Below are 26,448 nucleotides of genomic sequence, written 5' to 3' on the forward strand. Positions count from 1 at the left end.
CCTTTTCTGCCTAGAGTGTATCTGCTCCTGTTCCTATCAGTACTACCATCTCAGAGAAACTGAAATTGCATCAAAATGCTGGTCCCTTTCCTAGAGTCTTCCAAAATGGGCCCTTTCTAGGCTTTTATGGAACCTAGATTTGATCTATCCTCCAAAGAAAAAACATGAATTGGAAATGCTGAGGTCTGGGTGTGCTAATATGTGGCTGAGCATTGATAAAGCCTGGTTAAGGAAAGCTCAAGGGAGGGAGTGATGTTTACTTGAAGTGGCTTCCTGAGAACAGTTGGATCCCTAAGATATCCATTTGTGTGTACTGAAACCTTCAGAAGAACACCTAGTACCTATTTACTTCCTCAGTACCTAGCAATGAGCATCAATCTGTTGCTATGTTCTGTTCTATGGGCTTTATGTATGTTTTTAATCCTCATAACAACTTGTAAATTAAGTATTACTAATATTCCTATCGTGCAAATGAAAAATCTTAAGTTTAGAGAGGTTAGGTAACTTGTCATGGTTAGATAGTAAGTATCAGAACCAGGATTTGAACCTAGGCTATCTCGCCTCAGAGCCTGGGTTGTTAACTATGAGTGTTAGCAAAAGAAATGTCTGGATTACACATGCGGATGAATGCAGGGTCCAGGCGGATAATATAAGTGAATGCAAAGGATCAGTTGTAAGGCATCAAACAGGAAGTGGAGGGAACTATGTGAACCAGAGAGCTTAGAGCAGATCTGGTGCTGTCACAGTGCCTGATTTTCTGGAAGTCAAGATTCAGAATGGCTGTTTCTATATGTTCAGGCCTTCCTCTCCTACTTTGAGCAAGTGCTGACTTTCTTGAGTCCTTTGACACAGAGTAGTCGGGTGGCTGCCTGTTTCCTTGGCACCCATTGGTCTCAGCCTGAAGATTTCATGCCTTCTGAGCTCCATATATTTTGGTGTAACTGGATTGTTAGAATAAATAAGCAATTCACTTGTGTTTTATGTGGAGGTAATTTTGACAACTTTCATAAAGTAGGTAAATACTTTTAAAATCTGTCTCAAAATGTATAAGTTACTGTTGCATTAGGAAAATGTCTGCCTACCTGCCAGACTAGTACTTAGAGAACAGATATAGCTAATAAAAGTATTTAACTAGAGATATATCATCCGTTCTCTTTATTTTCTCAAATATCAGAAATGGAGACTATTATATGATCAATATATAAGGTTGCAGCTCAAATTGAAAATGGGACTTTGCTTCCATCTCCTCTTTTAAAAATAAAAATGTTATTAAGCACTTATTGAACTAGACACTTCATCCATATTATTTCATTTAACCCTCATAAAAACCCTATGAGTAGATACAATTTCACATCATTAAAATGAGAAAACCAAGACTCTGAAAGGTAATTATGTACTTAAAAAAAATCACTGAGTAAATAGAATCATGGGGATTTCAACCTAGTTGTGTGTGATTCTAACATCACTGCCTGAATTTCAATTCTCCTGTTTTTTTCTGTGTTCTCCTAATGCTTTTAATTTTCATCTTTATTGCATAACTCTCCATTAGGCATTTTCAGCTGTTTCTAAGTTGTTATCATTGCCATTCCTGCATATACACTCCATTGTCAATGACTCTGGTCATGTTCAGAACAAACCTCATGATCACCTCATGTTCCATACCCTCCCCATCCTGTTGGTGAGGCCAGAAACCCTGGAGTACCTCATCCCCCATACAATCTATCTTAAAGCCCTCCTGATTTTACCTCCTAAACATTGTTCAATTACAAACGGCTCTTTTTGTTTCAATGGTTACCATTCTAGACAGAACTACTATAAGTTCTAACCTTGCACTTCTGCTGTAGTTCTTATCCTCTATGGCCTCTCTTCATCTGTGACTTTATTCTCCATGGAGGGAAAGCCAGGAAGATCATTTCTATGCAAATATTGATCAAACCAAAAAGACAATCACCCTTATTCCACTCTCAAATCCTTGCTTTAAAAAAAAATCAGTAGTTTTTTTTTGTCATTTTTAATGCAGAGATCAAAATATTTAGCCAGATCTAAAATGCCTACCTCAGCCGACATCTGTGAACCTCTCATGACTTCTCATACCACAAAACCCATTTCTCTTTTCATTCGAGCTTCAAAGAGAGGCAGAACAATCCAAGTTCCCCCTGCCATTGGGTCTTTGCACACATCATTTTTTGTGTCTAATAAACTCCCTCCTACTTCTCTTTCATGGTCACTACCCACTCTTTCTTTTTCCCTCAGTTTAACATTTATACTTTGGGAAACCCTCTCCCAGCCTTCCTAGCCAGATTTTCCCCACTATTGATGATGCAACACTTCACTTCTTAGACCCAGAACTTAGTTTTACATCTACTTGGGTGATATAATCTGCGGACAGATTCTAGGCTTCATATTTGGGAGCCATTTTTGTACATTGTTGTATTCCCTAAGCCTATCTCAATTCTGGAAAAAGTAGTTATTTAATGTTTCTTGAAATGAATGAATGAGTGAATTATTTTTTTGTTTATGTTATTCCCCCTGTACAAATCAAAAATGGTCTTCTTTTCATTCAGTAACTATTTTAAAAAGATCTATGAAGTTTGCTCCAACAATTTCAGTGAGCAATATCTTCCTTCTTTGAATATCACAAAAATTATAAATTCCATACTATTGGCCTTTACTTGTTCTTTCTCTGTTTCTAGGAGATATGACTCTTAAAATCTAGGGTCAAACTGGGCACTTTTGCTGATTTACTTCCTCCACTGTCTCCCTCCCTCCAATGCTTGTTTCTTAGTGCCACAAATAAAATGCTACTAGTTTAGATTTGGTACTAAAAAAATACTAATTGATGTAAGGTTTCATGAAACTCATTAGGAAATTCATGGATAAAATGTGAGAGGAATAACTTCTCTAGATGTTTAAAAAATAGTATGACAAAACATAAAATATGTTGAAAAGAAAAACAGGGAACATAACATAACAGACAAATGCCAACAAAAAAATTAAGGATAGAAACATGAGAGTCATATGGCATGAAACCTAAGAGAAAACTGTATTAGAAAATAAAAGGAATCATTTATATTGATTACAAAAGAATCTGCCAGGCACAGTAGTGTGTGTCTGTAGTCCCAGCTACTCAAGAAGTTGAGAGGGAGGATCCACTGAGCCCAGGAGTTCAAACCCTGGGCAACATAGCAAAACCGCCTCTCAACAACAACAATACAAAAAAAACAAAACCAACCAACCAAACAAACAAAAGATAAACCCAGTACCTTTCACATTATAAACCCATATGCACTGAATTACATGGGGTCAATATTGACAGAGCAAAATCTGACAAAAATACAAAGCGAAACTGAAATAACAAAATCCTATGAAGCTTTAATCTAAAACTCTCAGATATAGTCATGAACACAAACAAACATATAGGAACACACTTAAATACACATAAGAACTTTCTCACACAACACTAAAGACAACAAGTAGAGATCTCACATTGTTTACTAATGCCCTCATGGTATTTATAGAAGTTTTGCATATGTTTGGGTCAAATTAAATTTCATTGACTTGCTAAAACTAGATACCACTAAAGCCACATTGTGTAGAAACAAAGCAAAATAAGGAGAGCATAATGAAAGGTTATCTAATCACTAGAAAACTATATACATTAATTTTTCCAATGAATCTTAAGTTAAAAATGAAATCACAAAACAGCTGTATGAAAGGTATCAGCAAATTATACTAAATGCAACCAAGTGGTACTCAAAAGAAAATTTATGGTATATGAGGATTTTTAAATTAAAATAAATGCATTTAGGTAAGATACATATAAGATAAAATATGCCTATATTTGGACTAATGTTGCTATTTTGTGATATTTCTTTGGATCTTTTTATGATAACTTATTTCAGATGAAGTTGAATTTCTTCTCACTTCTCTCTAAGGCTCAGCACCCTGTATCACAAATTGAATGTGTTCGAAGTACTTATTTCAATACTCTTAACAGTTATTTATAGCATGAAAAACCATATAGTATAATTTTATTTTTAGTCACCTGTATGTTATGTAACAACATTCAATTTGCTTTTTTCCTTGACATTATGTTTTCAGGATCAACTCATACTGATAAATGTATAGAGACCTCATTCACTCATTTTATCTGCTATATAATTCGTTCAGTTTATTCAGTCTATTTACCCACGATTAGACCTTTAGATAGTTTTCAGTTGTTTGTGATTACAGACAATACTGAAGAAGACCATCATTATTCCGATCTTCTTATTTACCTGTGAAAGAATTTCTCTAAACCTAAAATTGGATTTATACCTAAGAAGTAATATTATTAAGTTATGAGTTATATATACAAAGATATTCAGTGTGGGGTTAAAGAGCAACAAATTAGAAACCACTTGAGTATCCATATGATTAATAAGTTAAGATACACGCTGGGTTGATAGTAAAAATAGTAAGCAATAACAAAAATAAACAACAGTGCAGCCCTGGTGCTGACTAAATAGAATGCATTAATCAGAGTGGACATGGATTGTACATAATTGGCACAAGAATACCACTGTCTACTAGTTTGATTTCAGCCACAGATACATCATTTTAGGCAGCTGCTTTTAAATTGGGGACTTGTATGAATTACACTTGAAGAATTTCCATAATATTCTGTTTAAAGGAAATAAAGTTGCAGATTTCCATCTATAAATTTAACATGACTTTTTTTGGTGAAAAATAGGAAGAAAAAATTCACTGTTTACATGACAGAGTTGTGGCGTATACACTTTTCTGTAATTTTTTGCAATATTTAGTAATATTTAACTCATAATTTGCATTAATGTTTTTGATTTATCAATTGTATATCCTTCACTGTATTTTCTTATTTGCCTTAATCCTTCCTTTAAACAGCTTGTCTCTTTTGCTTCATGTCTCACCAAAAGTTTGGCAAATTAGAGAGAAGAGGGGAAAAATGTAGTCAGTTTTTAGAGTTTTGAATTTCAGAAGTTTAACATGCAGGAAAAAAAGGAAAGAACTCAAAAAATGGAGAAGAAATTTGGGAGAACACATGAAAGTTAGAAGATGCTACTCTGACCACTTCCCCACCAGAGAGAAAAGAAGAGTTAAAGAGTGAGCAGTAAGATTTTGATAGAATTAAGTAAGCAAGAAAGATACTTAGAACCCCTTCCTTCAGCCATCCTGGGTCAAAGCCAGATTAAGCCCAGGGTAGGGTAATGACAGACTAAAGATGAGTTTGAATATTTAAAAGATGTGAGGACTGGGGCCCCTCTCCGGATAAGAAATAGTTGTATGTCATGTCTAGGCAGATGAGTCTGGGTTAATTTCAAAAGTCAGGACACCCAGGATCGTGCCGGAGTGGTATAAGGATTCCTGTACTCCCAAGGGAAGATCATAATACATCTCCTCTGTCCAAGAATGACATGAACTTAATACTGGGAGTCATCTGACCTGCCAAGGCTCCACAGGGAAGGGACTTCTGCAAATCCACAACCCAGAACAATTAGACAAGAATCACCTCAGTAGCTGCCACAATGGAAAGATAAGAACGAGAATAAGATGCCATGTGTGCTCCTCCCTAAGCCTTCGCATTTTGTGAGCTCCTAACTATAGACTTAACTCTGAGGAAGAAGGTGGGTGAGATGGAGGGGAAGAACTGCTCTGATATTATGAGAGCTCTTTCTATAAGTTATGGAAAAATAAAATTACAGTATTTGTATATTTGAGTTTGTAGAGTAAAATTTGTATCTGCTGCCACCTGGATCTTTTTCTCCTTTCACTTTCTTAAAATCCCAAATTTTACTGTTGCGCATCCCATAGGGAGCTTTTATGGAATAGATAGAGATTTTCACTTTTTTTTTTCCTAGAAGCTTGTATGTTACAGTGAACTTTATTTTTAACAGCAGCATGCACTTCTGTAATTCAAAATAACAAAATAAAAATTGATATTTCCCTCCGTACATATAAATAGTAGGTAAAAAAATCTTAAATTATTTCTTGAAATTTACATATTTCTAATATATCTTTTTGTTATTAACTACAGTAATCATTCATATTTTCTGCATTTAAATTTAAAATTATTTGATCAAGTAAAATAGATGAAGGCATTTTTTAAATAAAAAGAATATTGTCCAATGGACCTCTTCTTTTCATACTCTAATTTCTTGGCAATTGTAGCAACTATTAGCTCTGCTTATGCCTGTTAATAGCTGGATGGAGTCTTTCAGAATTTTCTTTCTAGGACAGCAAGGCAAAATCAATGGCAGTTTCATCTCTCTTGAAGATTGATGCAGCCTTGCAATGCTTAGCAAAACCATGTGATCTTTTAATCAATCACTGAAATAAATCTATGCAACTGGTGTCAGGAACCAAAGTCATTTCACACTCACCTTCCCTGTTGTTTAGAATCAAAGGAAATGAAATCTAAATTAGACTTGCCGAGCCATACTATGCAGCCTCCACTCCCAAAGGAATTGAAACTTTGTCACTGTTCAAAAGACTTGTCTTGCAATAAGAAAATATGAAGGTTTGTCTATAAATATGAAAGCGATGGAGAATCTCCTTTGGTCCTGGCTCATAAATAGGCTAAGCCAGAATACTGTTGCATGAAACCATAACTTCTAATCACTGGCATATAAACAGTAGCTGTATCTTTTCATAGATTCTGGAAAGATTTTGCAGAGATCTTAGGATTCACTACCCTGTCTCACATAAGATTTAATGAAACATTTGTATACTGAAGATTATCTTTTTACTCTTATCCCGAGGAAAGACATTTCTCTAAAAATGTAATTTATAGCCTCACCCTCTTCACTTCTAGGAATTTCTTCCACATAAAATCAACTCTTTATTCAATCCAGGTAAAGGGAAAGATGAGTGAACCAGAGAGTACAGAATGATAAATAATTTAAAAAGTAATTCAACCTTGCCCTGCGGTGTTGTGGGAGAATTGCATAGTGAAGAAAAATATGATGATATCTTAGTAATGTTTTTAAGAACTTCCATTAGCCGACCCACCCCAAATCCAAGTGTGTATTAGGGAGCGGCCATATTCAGTGTTTTTCTCAAATTCAGGACAAAAATAGCACTTAAGTCACCTCTTCAGTCTCTAATCGAACATGTAGCCTCTCTCTGAACACTTTGTTCGTTGCCTAGGATCTAATTAGATTTGTAAATACAGGGAGAAGCAGAAATATATAGTTGACTAAATAGATGTATCTCCCTGCCTTGCGCCTATAGCCAAACAAAGTCACTAAGTGAGCCTGCAGAACCCCTCAATCCCTCCTCCAACTCCATCTATCTTTTGCTTTCCATTCATAGTAGTCAGCATGATGTAGCATATGAAACCTAGGCTCAAAAGCATGCTAGGATCTTCTAGCAGATTAGAGGAATGGAAAAGGAACGGAGAACATGAACAGTGTTGAGAAGTTAACTCAACTGTAATCATGGCTACAGATGAGGGGAGTCAGTGACCATCCTTATCTCTGGATCCATAGAGGTATGATTAACTTGAACTTGATTCTGGCTGTTCTAAATACCCAAGAGCATGCGCTGTAATAGTTGAGACAAAACAGTAGTTGTTCCAAAGTGGTATTTTATGAGGGGAGGTGATGGTATCACAATTCTAGACTCTCCCAAGCAACAGTTAGGTGTATATCCAAATGAAATTCCAGTTCCCTGGAAGAGGAAAGTTTCAGCAGTATCAGAGGTAGCCCAGTGTGCAGCAGAAGCCAGGACATATGAGTAGACTAGACAAACAAGTGGACTTCAGGTGGAAAAGCTGTGGTTCTCTGGACAAAAGATTGTCCAGGCATCCCTTAAGCACACCAGGTACCTGAAGATCAATCAGATCCCATTAGCTGGTCACCTGGAAGCTACTGTTATGTGCTCTACTTTAGTCAAAATTGACTCAGAAACTGGACAAAAATGAGCCTTTAGGTTGAGGTCTCAGGGCTGAAGATACAGCAGAGCTGAGAAAGTCCTGAGCACCCGTTTTGTATGTTAGCCATATGTTTGGGATCCTCTCCCACCCCATCACTGTGCCTCCAGGTGCCCAGGGGATGTATGACATGGATAAACTACAAGATTCCTTCTAGGAAGCATTTCTCTCTCTGATCAGAGTTTAAGACCACATCGTCTGTTATTTTTAAGTCTAAGTTTGAAGATGATTTATTGTCATTGCAAAGCATATGCTACTTTGTGTTTTATAAATGGAAACTGGGTGAGATGTATCCTTTGAAAGATATTCTTCCGGGCTATGTTTAATCAAACTCTAGCACTCACAATGTTGTTCTTGGCAAAATTTCAAAATAAAGGCCACTCTGAGGACAGGACATAAAATTATATTATAGCGAGCAGTATTTAAGCAAGATATCAAGATGACAATGCTGATTGCAGTGACTTTGGAATACAGGACTGTAAGGTCACACCATGTTGTAAAATTAGGTCAGAACATTTTTGATAATAAGTTATGTTTAAGGGTGATATCACCTAGAAACAGACAACTCGGGTCTTAGGATTCCATGGTCTTGTTGTATTATGAAATATAAAATATATCATTAAGATATTTAACCAATGCAAGTGTAACATTTTCTTTATTGAAATAAAAAATAATAAAAAGCAGGTGATGTACGAAGAATAATATAAACTATACAAGAAGTAGATAGTTACATACTGGAAGATGCATATCTAAAGTTCTTATGCCAGGGATTAGACATAGGCAACACAGTAGTATGAATTCTAACAGTACTGATTTTGATTCAAAATTAATAAGTGGTCTCCTCCACAGTGGTGAAGTCTATTACCTCCTCTGTTTCCAATTTGATGAACAGGATCAATCAGCATTCAGAAAGGTGATCTTCATGTCTCCACATGTCTGTGTCTACTAAGAATGCCTCTACCACCTGGAGAGGAGTCTAGCCTGAAACATTACTCTTGTTGGAAATTTTTTTCTAACTATTTTTCTTTGGAGGTATGACACAGTATGCAACTACAGTATTGTTGAAAGAGATTTTGGAGTTTCAAGAGCACAGTAGCAAGAACCTCATATCCTTCAGAGCATGGTCTGTGTTCTTTGCAGTTCTGTGCAGATTCTGAAATAGAATGCTAAAATTACAGACTTGGATTCTGTGTTTGTTCTCAAGCCTTGTGATATAAAGGTATTAAGTTTTCTTCCCAAATAACAATAAAATGTTTCTTTCATTTGATTATCTAGTGTGGCTGGGACTACATCTTGTGCCAGATTAGAAAGAATGATTTATCCATTATCACCTTTTACTCATATAGTAAGGAAACAAAATCCTGTTAAATCCATGAGTCTGTACCTCAAGGATCCTTTTGTTTTGGATAAATAGGTGCCTCTGAGCCAGTTTAATTTTCCTTTAGAGGTAGGGAGCTTAATGTAAGGACTAGTCTTTGAATTTATAGAAAGCTGAGAGGCTATGTCTGCACCTGCTTCAGTTAAATAATCGCAAAGCCATTTTGAGTGTAACTTCTGGACAAATCAATTAGGAATGGCCTGTTTCAAAGTGAGATCAGAAATTTATGATATATATGGCAAAGGTGAAACAAAAGATGATTTTTGCACAATAAGGAAGATGTAAGAAAAAGTCACATGTGAGTGAGAAAGTCTACAGGTCTTGCTACTTCAGTAACGGCCAAAATCTCCTAACTCAGGGTGGGCTTTCTCCAAAGACCCTGAGCAGGCTGCTGCTTGTTTAGATCAGACAGCATAGCCACCTGCCCGGTGCCCGTTCTTTCTTGTTCAAAAGGAAGAGCCTAGAATTAAAACAAAAATCACAGGATTGAAACTCAAAGATCCAGTCTAACCATCCATCTAATTTTTGTATCTCTGTTGCAATATCTCTTCTGCATGGTCATCCAGTATCAGAGAATTTATTCTCTCTCAAAGCACTTCATTTCATATTTGTAAAGCTCCAACCATTAGAAAGATCTTGCTTGTTAAGACTTGAATCCTCTGTTTATAGCTGCTTCTACTCACTCTTGCCAGTTTTACTACTTCGGGTTGTACTAAATAAATGTAATCCCCCCTGACTGTGTCAGTTCCTCAGATATTGGTGGACAGCTATCATATTATCCCTGAGGCCTTATTTATTGTTTTCCTCAGTGGTAAATACTGCCAACTCTTTTGATCATTTTTAATCTAACATAGTGTTGGAATCCTTGCTTTCTAGTTGTTTTTTTTTTAATATATCTGAGTTTGTTTACAAGTTTGTAAAAATGCAGTATTAGGCCCAGAACCCATTCTAAGATTGTAATAATCCAAAAACAGAGGGGAGCTGGATCCTTGCTTTCCTCTAATGAGGTTCAGTGCCTCCCTTGGTGCAGATTAAGTTCACTATTTTTGGCATCCTCAAAATTCCATTGACTTTTCTAGAGCTTCTTCTTCAGCAAAACTTCTGCATCTTTTATATTTGTAGTCTGTTGATAAGACACATTTTTCTCATTCTGTACTTGGGCAGTTGTTTTAGACTCAAATACAGGACCTTGTATTTTTCTGGGTTAAGTTTTAGCATATTAAAATCAGACCAATACTCAGGTCTCCCAGAGTCTTTTTGTATCTAAATGTGGTCAATAAACATATTATCCCTCTGCACTCCAATTTCCTCAGCAATGGGAATGGAGACTACCTCATTCCCATGTGTGTGATCCAGCACATGGAAAGTGCTCAGAATAGGGGAAATTTATAATAAGTGCTCAATAAAAAAATATAACTTTGCAAGCACAGGTAGTCCACAAAAAAGTCTTTTAACTATGAGGCATGTTCATTGATATCATGAAATAAGCTCCAACATATTCGAATAAAACATTTTAGTCAAAATTATACTATTGGTGGAGTTTAATGAAAATGATTTAAGCAACATGATATATGTGAACATTAGAGACCTTTATAATTAGAGTCCAAAGAGAAAATATATATGTTTTAACCTGTATACATTTCCAAGTAAGGGGCTATATAATTGGACAAGTTGAGGCTCATTTTGAATTTCCTCCTAAAATCTACATCCCCACCTCTTAGAGCCATTTGCTACTAGCAGACTCTAGATCTACCAAAATGATCAATTTTTCTGCGTATCCCCTATGTGAAATCATTACCCAAAGCTGTACGGGTGGATCCAAGTTGTTAATGACAAAGCACCATGTGTGTGAGAAAGTTGAAACTGTCCTTACTGTCCATCCTTCACCAAAAGAATTAGCAGAATGGCAGAGAGGAAAATGCTGTTTGTAATATTCTCAGATCTAGATTTACATCTTTAATCTAGATTAGCATAAGAACATTTTACCTGTATGACCTTGGAAAAATTACTAGCCCCTCATTCCCTCCATTTTCTTTTTCATGGGAATGCGATGATGTAACTTCTAGAATTACATCACTCTGAAAACTTTGAACTAACATCCATAAAATACCAAATATGATTAATACTAGCAGTAACTGCAGTCAAACACTTATCTAAATGGATGATGATAAGTATCAACAAGAATTTATTTGATGCTGACCAAGTTTCCATGAACAGAATTTGAAAATTATCCATGTCAACAATACAATCCGATTAGAAGAAAACAGTGAGAGGAGAATTAGAAAATAAGACCATATCATATGGTGATTTCATGCTTTGGAATCAGTGTGGGAGTAAGATCTTAACATACAAACTTTTCATTTATTAATTGAAAACAGGATAGAAGAAAGTCAGAAGAGTTTATAGAATAGTCTAATATTCCAGCATATAATTTCAATGAAACGCAGGAGTATTAAAACTCTGTAACTTCACTCAATCTTTATTAAGTGACTGTTACATGCCAGGTAACCTAGACTCTAAGAAGACAATGCTCTTGGTGGTCATAAAATGTGTCTCACTGCACTCTTTCAGCGTCTACGCACTCTTTCTGAACCATGGAATCATAAATTGAAAATATTCTTATCTCAAAAATCATTGAATCATGGAACACTGTTACATTTTCTTTCTTTCTCTACACAGCACATTAAGCATGAAATGGAACTCAACATTAAATTGCCAAGGTTCATCCTTTGAATGGCTCTTTATCTCAATAGTCCGTGAAGTCTTTGTTTGCGTTGTAGAATGGAAGTATGATTTTGGAGAATTAAAGTACATTGACCAAATGCAAAGAATTCAGTCAAATTTAGTCTCTATACACCACTACTGAGGCACACCATCTCATATAACATACAGATACGAATTTACTTTAATTTGGAAGTAAATGTTTACAGAAAATGTAAACGAATCTTTCATCACATTCTCCTTTGAAATGGAGAATACTTTTCAATTTTCAAGTTTTCAGTATTATAATTTGGTTCTTTATGTATTGTTATTGTTTAAATAATACATCTGATATTTACCAGAGTTTTTGCTTTGGCATCTCTAAAATTTTCTACTTATAAACATTCTAAATATTAGAGAATTTTAAAGAACATTTTGAAATAAATCATTATTCATTGAGAAAATATCAAAAATCTTAAATATTTACTTTTTAAAAAGAAAATCCAAGTAGGCTTGGAGACCTCTCCTCAAATACACTAGGGTAGCACACGGTGTACTGGGTCGTAGTAAGAACACAATGTTATAAATCACTGTGAAAAGAATTTTGCCACAGTGGTCCAATCTTGAGACTACCAAACACTGACTGAGGAAATTAGTGGTATGGAAAAACTATCGCTGAGTAATAACTGGATAATTAGCTATTGGGTATAAAGCAATCAAGAATTATTCACAAAGTAAATCATGTCTAGAGGAGAATGGCTTATATTATTAACCATTGGAAGTTATTTGTTTTCGTAAAGTTATTCCTGAAAAAGAAACTGTCCAAATATAGGAGGACCATCATGCCAAGAAAAAGAGGATATATTGTCTAAAAATGAGAGTGCTCTTTTATATGTGTACAAGTGTGCCTTAGAGGCCATTAAGTATGTTGCAAACACAGAGATGCTTTACTGAGAACACTGTGCCTCCAGCCTCAGATTCAGGTCTCACAGCTGGAAATTTGTAGAGGAGATGAGTTTGCCTGTGGTGATGAGCTGCATGAGAAACAAACTCCTACACACCAGTCTTTATGGTTGAGAAATTTTCTCTTCCAACCACACTATCAGCAACCCCATCCCCTCACCTGTTAATAAGAATCAAGAAGTCCACTAATGCAAGTCTCAGAGCGGGAGATGATACTTGCAAAGCAGACAGTCACAGTTAGGAAGGTAATTTTCCTCATCAGAAGTGTGGAACAGGCAAAGCAGCTGCAAACCCAAAGAAATGAACAATGACGGTTCAATTTCCATGCGCATGAGAAAGCTAAGCCAACTCTCTGGGTTAGGATATGAGGAGCAATTTAAAAACAGAATTAGGAATGTTTCCAAGAAAAGTAAATAAAGTATTTCATGTGCTTACCGGGCAGCATTTCCAAGCAAGATGGGTCATGAGAGAGGCTCCATCAAAATAAGTTTGTTAAATCAGTTTGGGTAATGCTGAGTATTTTATCCATCTCATGGAGAGTCACAGAGCTTAACTTTTTAACATAAAATTTACCATTTCATATAAAATCAATATTTAAACTTAGCTAGGTCCAGGGAAGGCAGATGATTTTATTCTCATGAGCAAAGAGAGATGTCAAATGACTGATCCAAATGCCCAGGTGCAAGGTGGTGGCAATACCTGCCCCAGAAATTCAGAGCTATTGTCCAGGGCACTTGGAGCTACATCAACTCAACACAGAGAACCTTGAAAAAAATTATAAAAGTCTTTTTTCTTTTCTCATCCTTGCTGAAATAGTTGATAGAATAAATAGCTTTAAAAGAAATATTAAGAGTCAGAAGACATAGATCCCCTTAACCAGCTCCACCATTGACTAGCTGTGTGGAACCGTAGGAAATAACATACTGTCTCTAGGCTTTGGATCCATTGAGCTAGGTGACCATTGTTATAGGTCCTCCAGCAGCCCTCTTGCTTTTTTTGATACTAGAATTCCTTCTCCTATGAGGATGCATGGCCTTGTATCCTCACAGGAGCTACAGAAGATTGGTTTGAATAGAACCAACTCTCCTCCCCCATGTTCTCTCTCCTCTCACCAGAAGGGTGTCACTGGTCATTGACTGAGTACACCCTTCTTCCTGCAGCCACCCAGTCACAGCGGTTTGTTCAGCAATTGACACAAGATGCCAACTGGGCCAGAGTTCTCCCAGGAAAAAAATCTCTTTCTGCTGGGGTTATTAAGTTGATGAGATATGAGTGTGGGCCCAGGGGCATCCATGTATTTTTCTTTTCTTACCATGTGGAGAGAGATTTTCTGAGAGATGGAGAAAGTCTGAGTGACACTAGATATCAGCTTCTTTCATGCGTGATGCACCTGTATCCTGGAACTTACAAGTTACATGAATCAATAAATTGTTTTTAATTTAAAATTAGCTTAAGCTAGATTTTTGTTGATTGTAACCCAAAGATTCTTAATTAATAAAGTCCATTCTAGCTTGAACTTTGATGATATTAGGAGACATTAATGTTACTTAAAAGAAGAATGTATCATTTCCTTAGAAAGCTCATCTATGGAATGTAGGGGAGGAAATTTTACTCTTGATCTTCTTAATTATTCAGTCCTTGAAAATTCACAGTGGGGGAAATGAATAAAACACTTGTTCCTGAGCTGAATTTGTAGAAAATTATAAGTAGCCTCGAGATATTCATTTGGAGCACTTTCTTCAGGCCTTCCATATTCATGTTCATCTTGAGTTTGAATATGTAAAGTGGAGCCAGCTTTGCGTATGCTACCTGAAGACATGGGGAAAAGTCAAATTAAATTGTTTGAGTATTTCAGGCCCCATGCTAATTATAGAGAAGGGTGGAGAGTACTTCATTTTCAAGGGGAGAAACCAGGAGAGTGTGTGGCTCACGCAGATAGATCCCGAAGGACATGTGCAAACAGATTAGCAGAAGATAGGATATTAGCACAGAAGGCCCCTTTAAATTCCATGATTCTTTGCACCAAACTTCCAAGGTCTAAGTTAGTACCTAGTGCAGAGTCATGACTATAATAGATACTAAATAATAAATATTTATTGATGATAAAGATAAGAAGGCCTGGCAAGGCCTCTTTCTCCTTTGGATATAAGAAAACTCAGCCAGCGGACAGGATGTTTGCAATCATTCCAAGACTCCACAGAGAAGAGAAATAGAGAAGGAATTTACAACCTTCCACATTCTCACAATGTTTAGTCCTCCCTCTCAGCAGTCTTTGATCCTTTTATTAAGCCCTCTAAATGTAAACGTTTCTAGCCACCATTTTGAGAATTTAGAATCTGCCTGTAAATTTCTAGAGATTTTACTTGATAGGTTCTTTTCGTTTTCATTGACCTTCTTCAAATTTAGGGTCCCAGCTCATTTCTCTTAACTTAGCTTTTAAAGATTTTCAAGCCTATGCAATACATAATCTTTGACTTTTCTGTCTCTTAGGGTTTCAGCTTCTTTCCTTTATGATTCTTAGATTAAGATTAAAGCATATATCTCAAGATACAGATGTATTGTAAGACTCCAGACACTTCAAATAAATCTTATTTACTGGACATTTTGAGACAATTTACTTGCAACATTTCCTATGCATTGTTTTATTGTAAACAAATAAATAATGTAAAACAAAGAATTGGGGAATGTGGAATGGGCAATGCTCATTTCTAGTCTGTAGTAGAATAAACATGTTTCATGAGTATACAGTAAAGGAAACACTGAGTATGAGAATATGTGCGCATGCATCTGCCTTAATCAATACTACGTAGAATATGAACTACATGATCCTGCTCAATTTATAGGAAAATAAATAAAGCAAAAGAGACACTCTGGATCCCAGAGGGATTCTTTTTCCAAAGCAATCAGACATCTGGAGTCTTGGTCTGATAAAAATCAATGACTCTTTCAGGGCAGTATATCTTTAGATGTGGGTGTGGGAAGGAGTGCATAATGAAAGAGGAATTGGTGAGGGTACAAAGCAAATATTTAAAAAACTAAAAAAACTATAACCTTCTCTCTCTGTAATAAAAAATACCAACATGTAGGCTATGGCATAATTATGTGTGTATATTTATATTACTATGAATTCTAGAAATAATAGGAACAATTTCTTATCTTACTCTTGTGGGTAGAGTATATACCTTCCCTTACATGTGTTTGTCTGTGCCAGTGTTTTGTGGTTCAAATGGAAAGGAATCATGTCATTTTTTCCAGTAATAAGTAGTAATGTACCATCTATACATGAGTGCTTGAGAAACACTATATAACTCTTTGAATTATGAGGTCATAAAATATTACTATCTAATGGAAACCAGTTTTAAAATGGGATTAGGCAGGGCAGGATTTCTTCCAGCATTATTGCAGATCACTTGACCTTTTTAGTATTGATCATTCTATACCTGCATTTACCCACTCAAGAATACTTCAGCAAGCATGCCCTTAAATATATTTAGAAAATAAAACTATCCATTATCCCTTCAAAATATACATAAATAGTTAAACAAATGAAAATAAGCTTTGTTTATTCTCATTTAGTGTATATTGTTATTTAGGTTAGATGCAAGCCACTGTTTGCAATGTGACTGAGGAATATTTAAAAATACATGCAGGAACATGGATGAAGCTGGAAACCATCATTCTCAGCAAACTAACACAGGAACAGAAAACCAAATAGCACATGTTCTCACTCATAAGTGGGAGTTGAACAATGAGAATATATGGACATAGGGAGGGGAACATCACACACCAGGGCTTGTCGGCGGGTGGGGGGCTAGGGGAGGGATAGCATTAGGAGAAATACCTAATGTAGATGACGGACCGATGGGTGCAGCAAACCACCATGGCAGTACGTGTATACCTATGTAATAAACCTACATGTTCTGCACATGTACCCCAAAACTTAAAAGTATAATAACAAAAAAAAGGAAAAATACATGTAGTTATCCTTACAACAGTCCTTAGAGGAGCTCTGTCTGGAGTATTTTAAGCTTCTCAAATATAATAATAATCAAAAAATAAGATGTATACATATAAATTCAAAGTATGTTACTATGATCACCATAAATGATACATGACTGATAATAATATTATATAATTAATTTTTCTGAAAGTTAATCCTGGACTTTCAAGTCTTTTAAACATTTAAAACAACACAAAAATATCAGGAAATGAGAACAAAGTGAGATTGGCCATGGAAACAACTTACTATTGAGCATTTAAATTCAGACATTAGGAAACAATTACTACTGAGGCAGCTGCTTTTAAAACATATCCCATTTGAGCTATTGTGCATAGGTCTACATGGGATTTGACAGGTAGAAAAAATATTTGTTGATTCCTGTTTGGAGGATTGCTGCAGACTTGCTGCTTCCACAGGCTTTCAAATTAGGTTTGAGTCTTACAGAACAAACCGAACCCTGGAATCTTTCCTGTCATTGTAACCCCCAAAGTGAGAAGTAAAATAAGCCAGGGTTAAGGAAGGCTCTAAACTGCATGTGGAACAGGTGCTGTGTGCTGTTGCAGAAACTCAAAAGGAAAAATGCTTTAGGGAGAAAAAGTGGATGTTAAAGAGTCTTCAAACACCCTAGTAGTTTCTATAAACAACAGTGCATATTAGTCTGAATGCGTACCTAGAAGAATTGCTTACTCCCCAGTACAATGGGCTTTACTTTCATGGCTTTGTCCTTTGAGAACGCAGAGACCTGGAAATTTAAGGTGCTGGTGAGATCATGCGTAATCGATCAGGTTAAAAACTGTCATCTACTCTGGCCTGGCTAGGTGTCTGAAATTTTGCTTTGATTATTGTAAATAACTTATTTCCAGTAGAGGAGCACTTGTCTTTTGTGAGAAAAACATCTACACAAAAGATCAAGACTGGAAAGATAAAATATATTTTTAAGACACATAATTAAGAGATTTATGAAACATCTTAAGAGAGAACACGTTAAACCAATTAATTCAATGGAATCATAGAATTGGAAGGTTCTTTAGAACCCCTCTTCCTTATTTTAGGGATCAGGCCATTCAGCTGCTTAGTGACCAGAACCAAAATTTCTAAAATCTCAGCCCAGTGTGTCTTTCCCTTCCTAATTCAGAGTTAGTATAGGAAGACACAGTAGCAGGATTGACTTGCATCCAGTGAGAAGCCAGGATGGCTTGGAAATCAGAAATCATGGACCATCTACCAGGAACTAGTGTGATCTCAGACTTGACAGAGTAGTGTGACCTCTGCTTTCACTTCCTTAAAGCTGTCCAGCACTCAAGCTCTTGCTACATTTTCAGAGAGAGTGGGGAGATTCGTATCAACAATCTTAAGAACACTTATCAACAATTGGTTAAGCTACTTATACAGAGGCCACCCAATTAAGCTAAGAGGTATCACTAGCTGTCTGCCCAGCCTGAGATCCCACTAATCCACCAGCTGTGTTTCATGAAAACTTCTCCCTGCATTTGCTGTATTTCCAGAAGGGCTTCAGGAAATATCAGATAAGTCCCCCTGGGCCATGTCAGATCAAGCAAGCTTTTAGAGGAATCTGTCTCTGTCTCTCAGGGACTCCCACTAATTACTGACCAAATGGTGGACTTCAGTGTGGCATGGTAGAACCTGCCTGTTAAATTTATGTATCTAAACTTCTGGTCTCTTAAGGCTGACATTGTTTTCTTAGGTGAAACACAGACAATGGCTTTCAAAACCTTTTTTTCTTAGAGAATGTCTCTGGGAAAGGACCGACACTCCATAAATTCTGAGCAGGATTAAAATGTTTCATTTAAAGCAGTTGTTAGAATGAGGGACAAAGAGAGTCAAAGGCAGAGTGAAAGAGGGAGTGGTGTGGCCCCAGAAAGTGGTTGCTCTGTGGCCATCGGGGAATAGAGAGTGTAAAAAGCTTCTTGCACACATTGCCTCATCTATAAAAACCAGAACTACTTGGCATCTCTCTAAGTAACAAATGGATCTAAGGGCTGGAGAGAAGTGTTGTTGGCAGGAAGTAGTCTCCAGGGCTATGTGCATTGCAGACTGTGCATTTCCCTGTAGTGCATAGATCATAGATTACAAAGCTGTGTTCACATACCTTTTGTATCTAAGGACTACATTTTGCAGGTTTTGGCTTGTTTCATGCACAATTTCTGGGGGTGAGAGAATAAATGTGGATAGTTGAGATAAAGAGAAACTGCATTTTGCTTTTGAGATGCAGGGAAGAGGAAAGAGATGTGAAGAAATACTAAGAGGAACAAGATAGAGAAGATAGAGGTCTTCAACCTTGGCTCCTCTCTCAACTTTCAGGACTTTCAGGACTTTTGTTTTAAATGAAAACCTGTGTTCTATACAATTTAAAATTGACCTGTAGGTTTGACCCCTCCTTCAGCCTCCGCGTGTCTGAAACTCTAAGCATGTGCCCGTACACAGCAGAGTAAAATGCAAGATTTCTACACTCTAGCTGATTTGTTTTTTTATCCCAAATCGAATTCTACCAGAGTACTGGATTCACAGGTGAGCTAATAAATCTTCCAGAAGAAGGGACCCTCAGAGGATGTTGCAGCCACAGCGTGAGTTAAATTTTAAGTGTCTGGTTTGTCCCAGAGAATCCATTGCTCTGCTTTGTGTCTCCCTTTGAAACATGCAGGCAGCAGATTAACTCGGTGCCACAGAAACTGTCTATAAAATAGAACATTGCCATTTCTTGTCCTGTCGGTTAGCAAAAGTAGATTGCTTTCCAAGACTCCTACTGACTACCTATTGACTATCTCTTGACCCTGCCCCCTGCCCAGATACCAAAACAACAAACAAGCAAACAAACCCTTACCTGTTTAAAAGACAGGAACAACAAGCAAAACTTCAAAATCCTCTTTTCTCAATCCTGATATCCATTAGAATTCAAAAAACCATCCTAGGTTGTGATTTCTAACAAGGTTTACTTGAGAGCGAAATGGACACTTAATAGTGGATATGACATTAAAGGCACTCAAAACTTTTGATCCCAATCTTTGAGTCGTTAACATTGTTTACACCAGTTGTGCTTCTTTCTGAGTAAATGGAACACTTTATTATTATTTGATTTTAGTTACTCTTATAGCTGCCATTGTGAAGTCTTTGAAATTTTAATTGCTATATAGCATCCTAGTGGATTCTTTATAGTCTTGAAAATATTTAGGATCCTGTCTCAGGCATAAAAATAAACTGCTCAAAACCTTTTGTCAAGTTTATGCTCGAAGCTATTGTATCCTTTGGGTTATTTTCACAGGCACGGTTTTTAGGCGTTTCTTTCTAACACTGTTGAATTTCTGAACCTTAAATGTGTCAACGGCCATCTGTAGTTCTACTCCAAATATCCTTCCCAGTTGGGGTTGTAATACTCATCTCCCACATTCAGGACCTCGGCTAACTCCTCTCAACCCTTTGCCTGGTCTGGGGCATACTAAATTACAAAGAACAGGCTGAATCTTTTAACGTGGTCTTTTTGCTAGAAAAAGTAATATCACAACGACAGTAATGCATCTCATGTTTTAGTAACAATGGTTTACCCTAGGGAGCATTAACGTCACTAACGTCACTGTGTACCTTAGCAGCTACTTTTCCTCGCATTTTATAATTCCCCTTCCCTCCGCCCCCCGGCCCCACCCGTGGGCAGCATCCCAAAGCCGCCTGGCTGACGTTGGTTAGGGTAGAGACGCCCTCCCTAAAGGCTGTCCAAGCCGTCTCTTCCTTTCATTAGCGGTGTAATCCTGTGTTCCCGCCGGAGCCTGGCACGGAAGTGTAATCTTCCCGCGGGGGCCCTTCTGTCGTCTCGCCTACCTGAGAGCTGAGACTAAATGAAATATAAAATATTCACGATAAGAGGAAACAAAGGATGCTGCCTCCAGGACGGCTACTGTGCCTGAGGCTGGGCTCCTTCTCAGTCATCCCAGGGCCTCTCCGTCTGGCCCCACCCTCGCCCCTCCAGGGGATCCACAAGTTGAATCGCAGCTCTCCAGGGTTAATTGCCCTGGCCGGGAGCCAGACTCCTCACCGCCGCCCCGTTCCCCCCTGCTGGGGAGCGCAGAATGACCACCAGGAGGCCAGGAACAAAACGCTTAAATGTTGCATTTATTAAGGAAATGTTAAATAAGAAAAAAACAAAAAGTCAAAACGGTGTCACGGATGTCAAGAGCACTTTTGTGGCGTAAACCGTGCAGTCACGAGCTACGAGTTCTATTCTGGGTCTTTGTCCCAGGGCCAGCAGGAACGCTAGACGCCTCCCAAAAGACCCAGTGGGAAATGCACTAAAAGAAACAACTCACCCCGTTCAAATTCGCAGGCTCCCCCTCCCCCCACCCCTTCTCCCACAATGACAAAACTGTAACTCCTCAGGCAGGCAAACAGGCCACTGGGGCAGAAAAAGACTTATCAAACATTTGTATTCAAGCAAACAAACACAAAACCTCTTAAAACGGCACGTTACAATCAAAGGTATTTATCGCCCCTCCCCTCCAGGGCAGGGGGGGAGCAGGAGAAGAGTGGGAGCGCACCCGGACACGGATTTGTGAGACCCCATGAGTCTGCTGCGTGGCTTTTAACAGGTCACTCTTCCGGTCACAAGGCGATCAGTGCCGCTGGGTCTCTCCCCTGCCCGCCCTCTCCACCTGCCCCCAGAGCTTGGCCCACCTGCGGGTGGAGAAGGGCCTTCGCACCGTCGGTCTCCCCGCATTCCAAGTAAGTAGCAGCTTCCAAAGTTCTGCGCCCTAATCGCCCTCTTCTTGCCACTTTCTGCTGAGTTCAGAGTCTGGGCGCTCTCCTCCGACTGCCAGGCATGAGGACTTTCAGAGGGCGAGGGAGAAACCGGTCGCTTCTTTCCGAAAGGCCGAAGTCGAGAGAAATAATTGACTCCGACAGGTTTGCTTCGCCCAGTCTCTGATAGTGAGGGGCACAGCCGGGCTAGCAAAGTGGGCAGGCGTGGGAGCGGTTGCCGCGGGGGCAGAGGGCGGGTCAGTAGGGCCCCACGACCACCGCCTCCACCTCCTTAGACGGCCTCCGGTCCTTCACGAGGAAGTTGATCATGCCCTCGGACTTGATGAGCAGATTGCAGCCGAGGAAGAAGATGCCGAAGACCACGGTGAGTGAGAGCACGCACATGACCGCGATCTGCACCACGCGCATTATGTACAGGCTACGCTCGTCCGGGCCTCCCTCCGCGAAGCCGTCGTCGGTCACCACGGACGCCTGGGTGCAGCAGCGCACGGCTCGCTCCAGCGCCTCGCTGCTGTTGGCCAGGAACAGGCCCGCCACGTCCGTCTGGTTGCCTAGGGCCGGATTCATCGCAGGAACGGGCGGGCGCCGCGAGCGGCGCGGGTCCGAGGGGTGGGAAGGCGGCGGCGCTGGAGGAACAGGTGCCGGGCTGAGCGCTCACTCGCAGACTAGCGCGTGCGAGGGCTCCTCGCTCTGCTTTCGAAAGTCCCTGGGCCGTGGGAGTTTCCCAGGAGCCTCTCCGACGCGCGCAGCAGCTAGGCTCTTCTAAAGCCGTCCGCTCCAGCCCTGGTGGTGCTCGTTCCCGGCGCTCGCTCGAGGGGGGGCTGTTGGAACTTGGCGGGGCTGGACCAGCCCGGCCGTGGGAGGTGCGGGCCGCGGCGGCTGCAGCGGCGGGGTGGCTGCGCTGAGCAAACAGCGGCCCCTTCCGGCCGCACCGCCGCGCTGCGCGCTGCTCTTGGGAGGTGGAGGAAGCAAAGGGGCGAACCTGGTCTTGCTTTTTATTGCTTGCTTCTTTTGCAAACTCCAAAGGCCAGGCAGAGGTCACTGTACTCTTCTAGCTTGATGGATGATTAAAGAGTTTGTCGGGGGAGGGTGCGGTCAGCTGAAAGTTTCAGAGGAACTGGGACACACGAGCTCTGCGTGTCCTTTGCCTGCTGCCCCCCTGACCTCTGGGCGAATGGAAAGTGGCGATGAATCGCAGGTGCCAGATGGTGCCGGCTGAGGCCACCCGCCCACTGCCTGTGCTTGACTCCGACTCGCCTGCGTTGGATTTCTAGTGGAGTGGAGGTGATCTGAGAATGTTTCTTACAAAGCAATGAATTTGGAAAGACAGAAAGGCATGGAAGAAGGAAGGAAGAAAGGAAGGAAGGAAAGAAAAAAGGAAGGGAGGGAGAAAGAAGAGCTCTACACCCAGCTTCCTTTACAAAAGCGATTGGGAGACAGAGCAAGGCAGGTTTTACCGTGAGGTTTGAGGCCAAGGAAAGAGGGTTAGAGGAAGGAGGAGTTCTTCTGTGGCCCTTGGGTGGAGGTAGTTGCCGGGAGCAGGGTCACCTCTCTGGTAAAGGAGGTGAACAGAGTGACCACTTGCTTGTAATTTTAATTGCAGATAAGTTTTTGGATGTGCTTCCAGCATTTTGTCCGTTGGCAGTAAATCAGTTGTTGAAGGGAATTGCTCATCAACATCCATCACCTAGAACGCTGGCCAAATACTGGGAGCCCTCCCCATTTTCCATAAGCTGATGTATTTCACCCTTAGTCATTTAAACTAAACACAGATGTTTTTATAGGCCTGATTGACGCTTCAGCCATTGTGATTTTGCTCTAGGTTCCAACGAAATTCTATAAACCTGTCAGATTAAGTTTCTTAACTCTGAAAGAATATTGCATGTTCCCGCTCCCCCTTTTCTGTTTTCTTTCCCCTCCCTCCTTTTCCCCATTACTCCCTGCCTTCCTCCCTCTTTCTTTCAGCTGTAACAGCTGGAAACCAGTAACTTGAGCTTCCAATAGAATACATTTACTTTCTATTAAATGTTCTCACCACAAAGAACTGATAAAAATTTGAGATAATGGGTACGCTAATTACTCTGATTTGATCATTCCACATGTATATGTGTATCAAAATATCACTTTGTACCTCATAAATATGTACAGTTGTCAATTAAAAATAAAATAAAACTGAAAAATAGTAGCTGTCTTGCCATTTTCAACTCTACTCTTAATTTCATTCTGTTTGCTTGGTAAATCCTCTTATTTCTGTTTCTTAAAACATCATTTATTCCATCTTCAGAGTGTTCCTTAAATGTTTTTGCACTGCTTCATGACTATCATAAAATAGAATGAAATGCCTTCTGGTTGAGTTTTCAATTTTTTGATATTTATGGTATATCAGCTGCAATAAGTTTGATTTTTTAAAATAGCTATTATTATTTTGAGGGGGATGTTTAACAGCTGAAAATTCAGGCTTGGGCTTCTACCACAATTCACTGGCTTATTGTTCTAGTTTCCCATAATTTAATTAGAATTGAAAAATACCTCACTCTCGGCAATTTCTTCTTTGAAGAAATTTATTAATAATTGATAAGTAAGAATTTACTTAAATCTCATCATACAATCAGTCTATCTTAGTTAATGTGGGTAGTCCTCAAGAATAATAAAACGTAATGTATACATGGAAAAAATTACAACAAATTTAAGGCAATATAAAGTCATCCTGAGATGAATGGTAGAGAAAAGTAATAGAAATTTAGAAAAATAAAAGGTCAGAGAACAGAGGCCCACCTCCAGGGATCAAGTTGTACAGAACTGTGTGTTCAGTAGAAGTTAGGTGTAAGCAAATGGAGAGCCCCTTCTTTATGTGACAAAAACCAAGAGTTAGTTTATAGTACATTTGTAAGATCCAATATGGAAGGATGCTAAAAGTGTTAGTTGAATCATTATCAGAATTTGAGTATATTTATTGCTAGGAACAGTATTGCTGTTTTCGTCAGGTCAGTGTTAAAATGATCAAACCTTGGAGTCAGGAGAGTTTTTATATTTAATCAAATCTTTGGGTGGGATCTTTTCTCTCAGGTTTAAGGACTAATTAGTCACAAAATTGTTGACAAGGTAATAGGTATTTCCCCCATCAGCTAGTTCAGCTCTCTGGTTTTGTTCAAGACAATCTTGGGATTGTTTCCCTTATTTTCCCTCCACTCTGATTTTGTTTAATAAAATTACTTAGAACATATAGATGGAAATTAATTATAAACTTAGTCATACAAAAATTATATTTATTATTCATTCATTAATTGACTTAAGGGGATCTGTGTTGCTAGAGAAATCTTTATGTTTTACAGAATCCCTTTTATTTATCTTTTCCTTTTGAATTTTCAGTGAACAATTTCAGTTTTTCTCCTTTTATTCACCTGTTTCTTAGGAGAATCTCACAAGTGTGAAAAAAGAAATCTTTAAGAAATGTTGACATTGAAAAACTTAATTTCCAGAAAAATGGATGAACATATGGTATGCAGGGAGCATACTGGTAATTCACTTTAAAGCAAAGATTTTTGATACTGAGAAAGACTAACTGCTGTATTTATTTAACTAGTGTCCTCTTCTACTTCATTGGAAATAGGTAGGTGTGATTTTATGAGAGTTAAAGGCCCAGTATTTTATAACATACATGTTACACAAGGACAGAAACACTGCCTACTCTTTCTGGAAAATATATCCTTGGCCTATAATGCATTCTGTAAAGGTATTTTTACAGAATGCTGATATGGATGGTTGCTGTAATTTATAGTTTGAATAGCCTTGAAGTAGGACCAGATACTCAATGCCAAAAGATTTTTGATTTTCTCTTTTTGTACATTATGAAAATATTAAGCAGATATTTTAAAAAAGGAAATATCAAACATTGAAAGGATATTTATTGCTTTGGGGCAAGCTTTTTAAAAAATAAATTACATTATATTACACAATGTAAGCAGGAGTAAGAGTAAGAACTCAAATTCAGAAGCCACTCATAATAGCAGATTCCATAGCCAAAACATAAGAAAAAAGCCAGAAATAAGCAAAATAGTTTATTGAACCACCAAAATAAATGTCGTAAAAGCTAAATACCTAAGCTCATATATTTCACCCTTAGATTATCCCTCCCCAAATTCTTTCTCAGAACCTACGACTTTGATTTTTCACAGTTTTAACTCACTTCTTTGTCTATTTTTCTTAATGACAGGATATCAGTATCAACATGTGTTCTGAAGAGGAGGAAATGGCTAGGGGGTAGGTGCTTTTACAACCACAAAGAGTAACAACAGAAGGAAAAAACAGAATGTTAAACAGCATACACAGACTTTCTAAGAGTATTAAGTAATAGTTTGGAGACATTTAATATAGAGACAAGCAGTCTAAATGGCAAGTAGACTACATAAAGGCATGGCTTTCAATCCTGTTGTCTTTACTTACAACCATGTAATCTTGGGCATGTTTTTTGTTTTTGTTTTTGTTTTTTGAGATGGTGTCTCGCTCTGTTGCCCAGGCTGGACTGCAGTGGCACGATCTGGGCTCATTGCAACCTCCGCCTCCCAGGTTCAAGCGATTCTCCTGCCTCAGCCTCCTGAGGAGCTGGGCTTACAGACATGCACCACCACACCTGACTAATTTTTTATATTTTTGGTAGAGACAGGCTTTTGCCATGTTGGCCAGGCTTGTCTCAAA

The 26,448-nt window shown here is 38.5% G+C and overlaps 2 protein-coding genes across 6 annotated transcripts in view, besides 5 other annotated features; one reads left to right on the top strand and one right to left on the bottom strand.

Moving 5' to 3' along the window:
• Window positions 1-26,448, top strand: part of GALNT13 (polypeptide N-acetylgalactosaminyltransferase 13) — a 1,388,282-nt gene that overhangs the window by 387,953 nt on the left and 973,881 nt on the right. For 2 of the 5 annotated variants that reach the window (NM_001422879.1, NM_001422880.1), the window contains exons 1-2: window positions 21,656-21,717; window positions 22,029-22,117. The exons of the other annotated variants lie outside the window; for them this stretch is intronic. The gene's annotated coding sequence lies outside the window, so the exon portion shown is untranslated. Of the gene's footprint in view, window positions 1-21,655; window positions 21,718-22,028; window positions 22,118-26,448 lie in introns of those variants that run through there. 5 annotated transcript variants of the gene reach the window in all.
• Window positions 3,285-3,816: an enhancer, noted in NCBI's record as "NANOG hESC enhancer chr2:154316044-154316575 (GRCh37/hg19 assembly coordinates)". NCBI's record gives its function as "activates a minimal SCP1, AML or CMV promoter by ChIP-STARR-seq in naive H9 embryonic stem cells {active_cell/tissue: H9 hESC(naive)}" and the evidence as "EXISTENCE:reporter gene assay evidence [ECO:0000049][PMID:30033119]".
• Window positions 20,684-21,187: an enhancer, noted in NCBI's record as "NANOG-H3K27ac hESC enhancer chr2:154333443-154333946 (GRCh37/hg19 assembly coordinates)". NCBI's record gives its function as "activates a minimal SCP1, AML or CMV promoter by ChIP-STARR-seq in naive and primed H9 embryonic stem cells {active_cell/tissue: H9 hESC(naive and primed)}" and the evidence as "EXISTENCE:reporter gene assay evidence [ECO:0000049][PMID:30033119]".
• Window positions 21,093-22,517, bottom strand: RPRM (reprimo, TP53 dependent G2 arrest mediator homolog). Its single transcript, NM_019845.3, has one exon. It carries the CDS (start codon window positions 22,318-22,320, stop codon window positions 21,991-21,993), a length of 330 nt encoding a protein of 109 aa, NP_062819.1. The 5' UTR covers window positions 22,321-22,517; the 3' UTR covers window positions 21,093-21,990.
• Window positions 21,188-21,691: an enhancer, noted in NCBI's record as "NANOG-H3K27ac hESC enhancer chr2:154333947-154334450 (GRCh37/hg19 assembly coordinates)". NCBI's record gives its function as "activates a minimal SCP1, AML or CMV promoter by ChIP-STARR-seq in naive H9 embryonic stem cells {active_cell/tissue: H9 hESC(naive)}" and the evidence as "EXISTENCE:reporter gene assay evidence [ECO:0000049][PMID:30033119]".
• Window positions 21,692-22,195: an enhancer, noted in NCBI's record as "H3K27ac hESC enhancer chr2:154334451-154334954 (GRCh37/hg19 assembly coordinates)". NCBI's record gives its function as "activates a minimal SCP1, AML or CMV promoter by ChIP-STARR-seq in naive H9 embryonic stem cells {active_cell/tissue: H9 hESC(naive)}" and the evidence as "EXISTENCE:reporter gene assay evidence [ECO:0000049][PMID:30033119]".
• Window positions 22,552-22,751: a silencer, noted in NCBI's record as "silent region_12014". NCBI's record gives its function as "represses an Ori minimal core promoter by ATAC-STARR-seq in GM12878 lymphoblastoid cells {active_cell/tissue: GM12878}" and the evidence as "EXISTENCE:reporter gene assay evidence [ECO:0000049][PMID:35858748]".

This window comes from Homo sapiens, chromosome 2 (assembly GCF_000001405.40).
Source record: "Homo sapiens chromosome 2, GRCh38.p14 Primary Assembly".
NCBI lineage: Eukaryota > Metazoa > Chordata > Mammalia > Primates > Hominidae > Homo > Homo sapiens.

Excerpts from the sequence above, each read along its gene's own strand:
- RPRM (NM_019845.3), bottom strand. The coding sequence starts at position 22,320 with ATGAATCCGGCCCTAGGCAACCAGACGGACGTGGCGGGCCTGTTCCTG.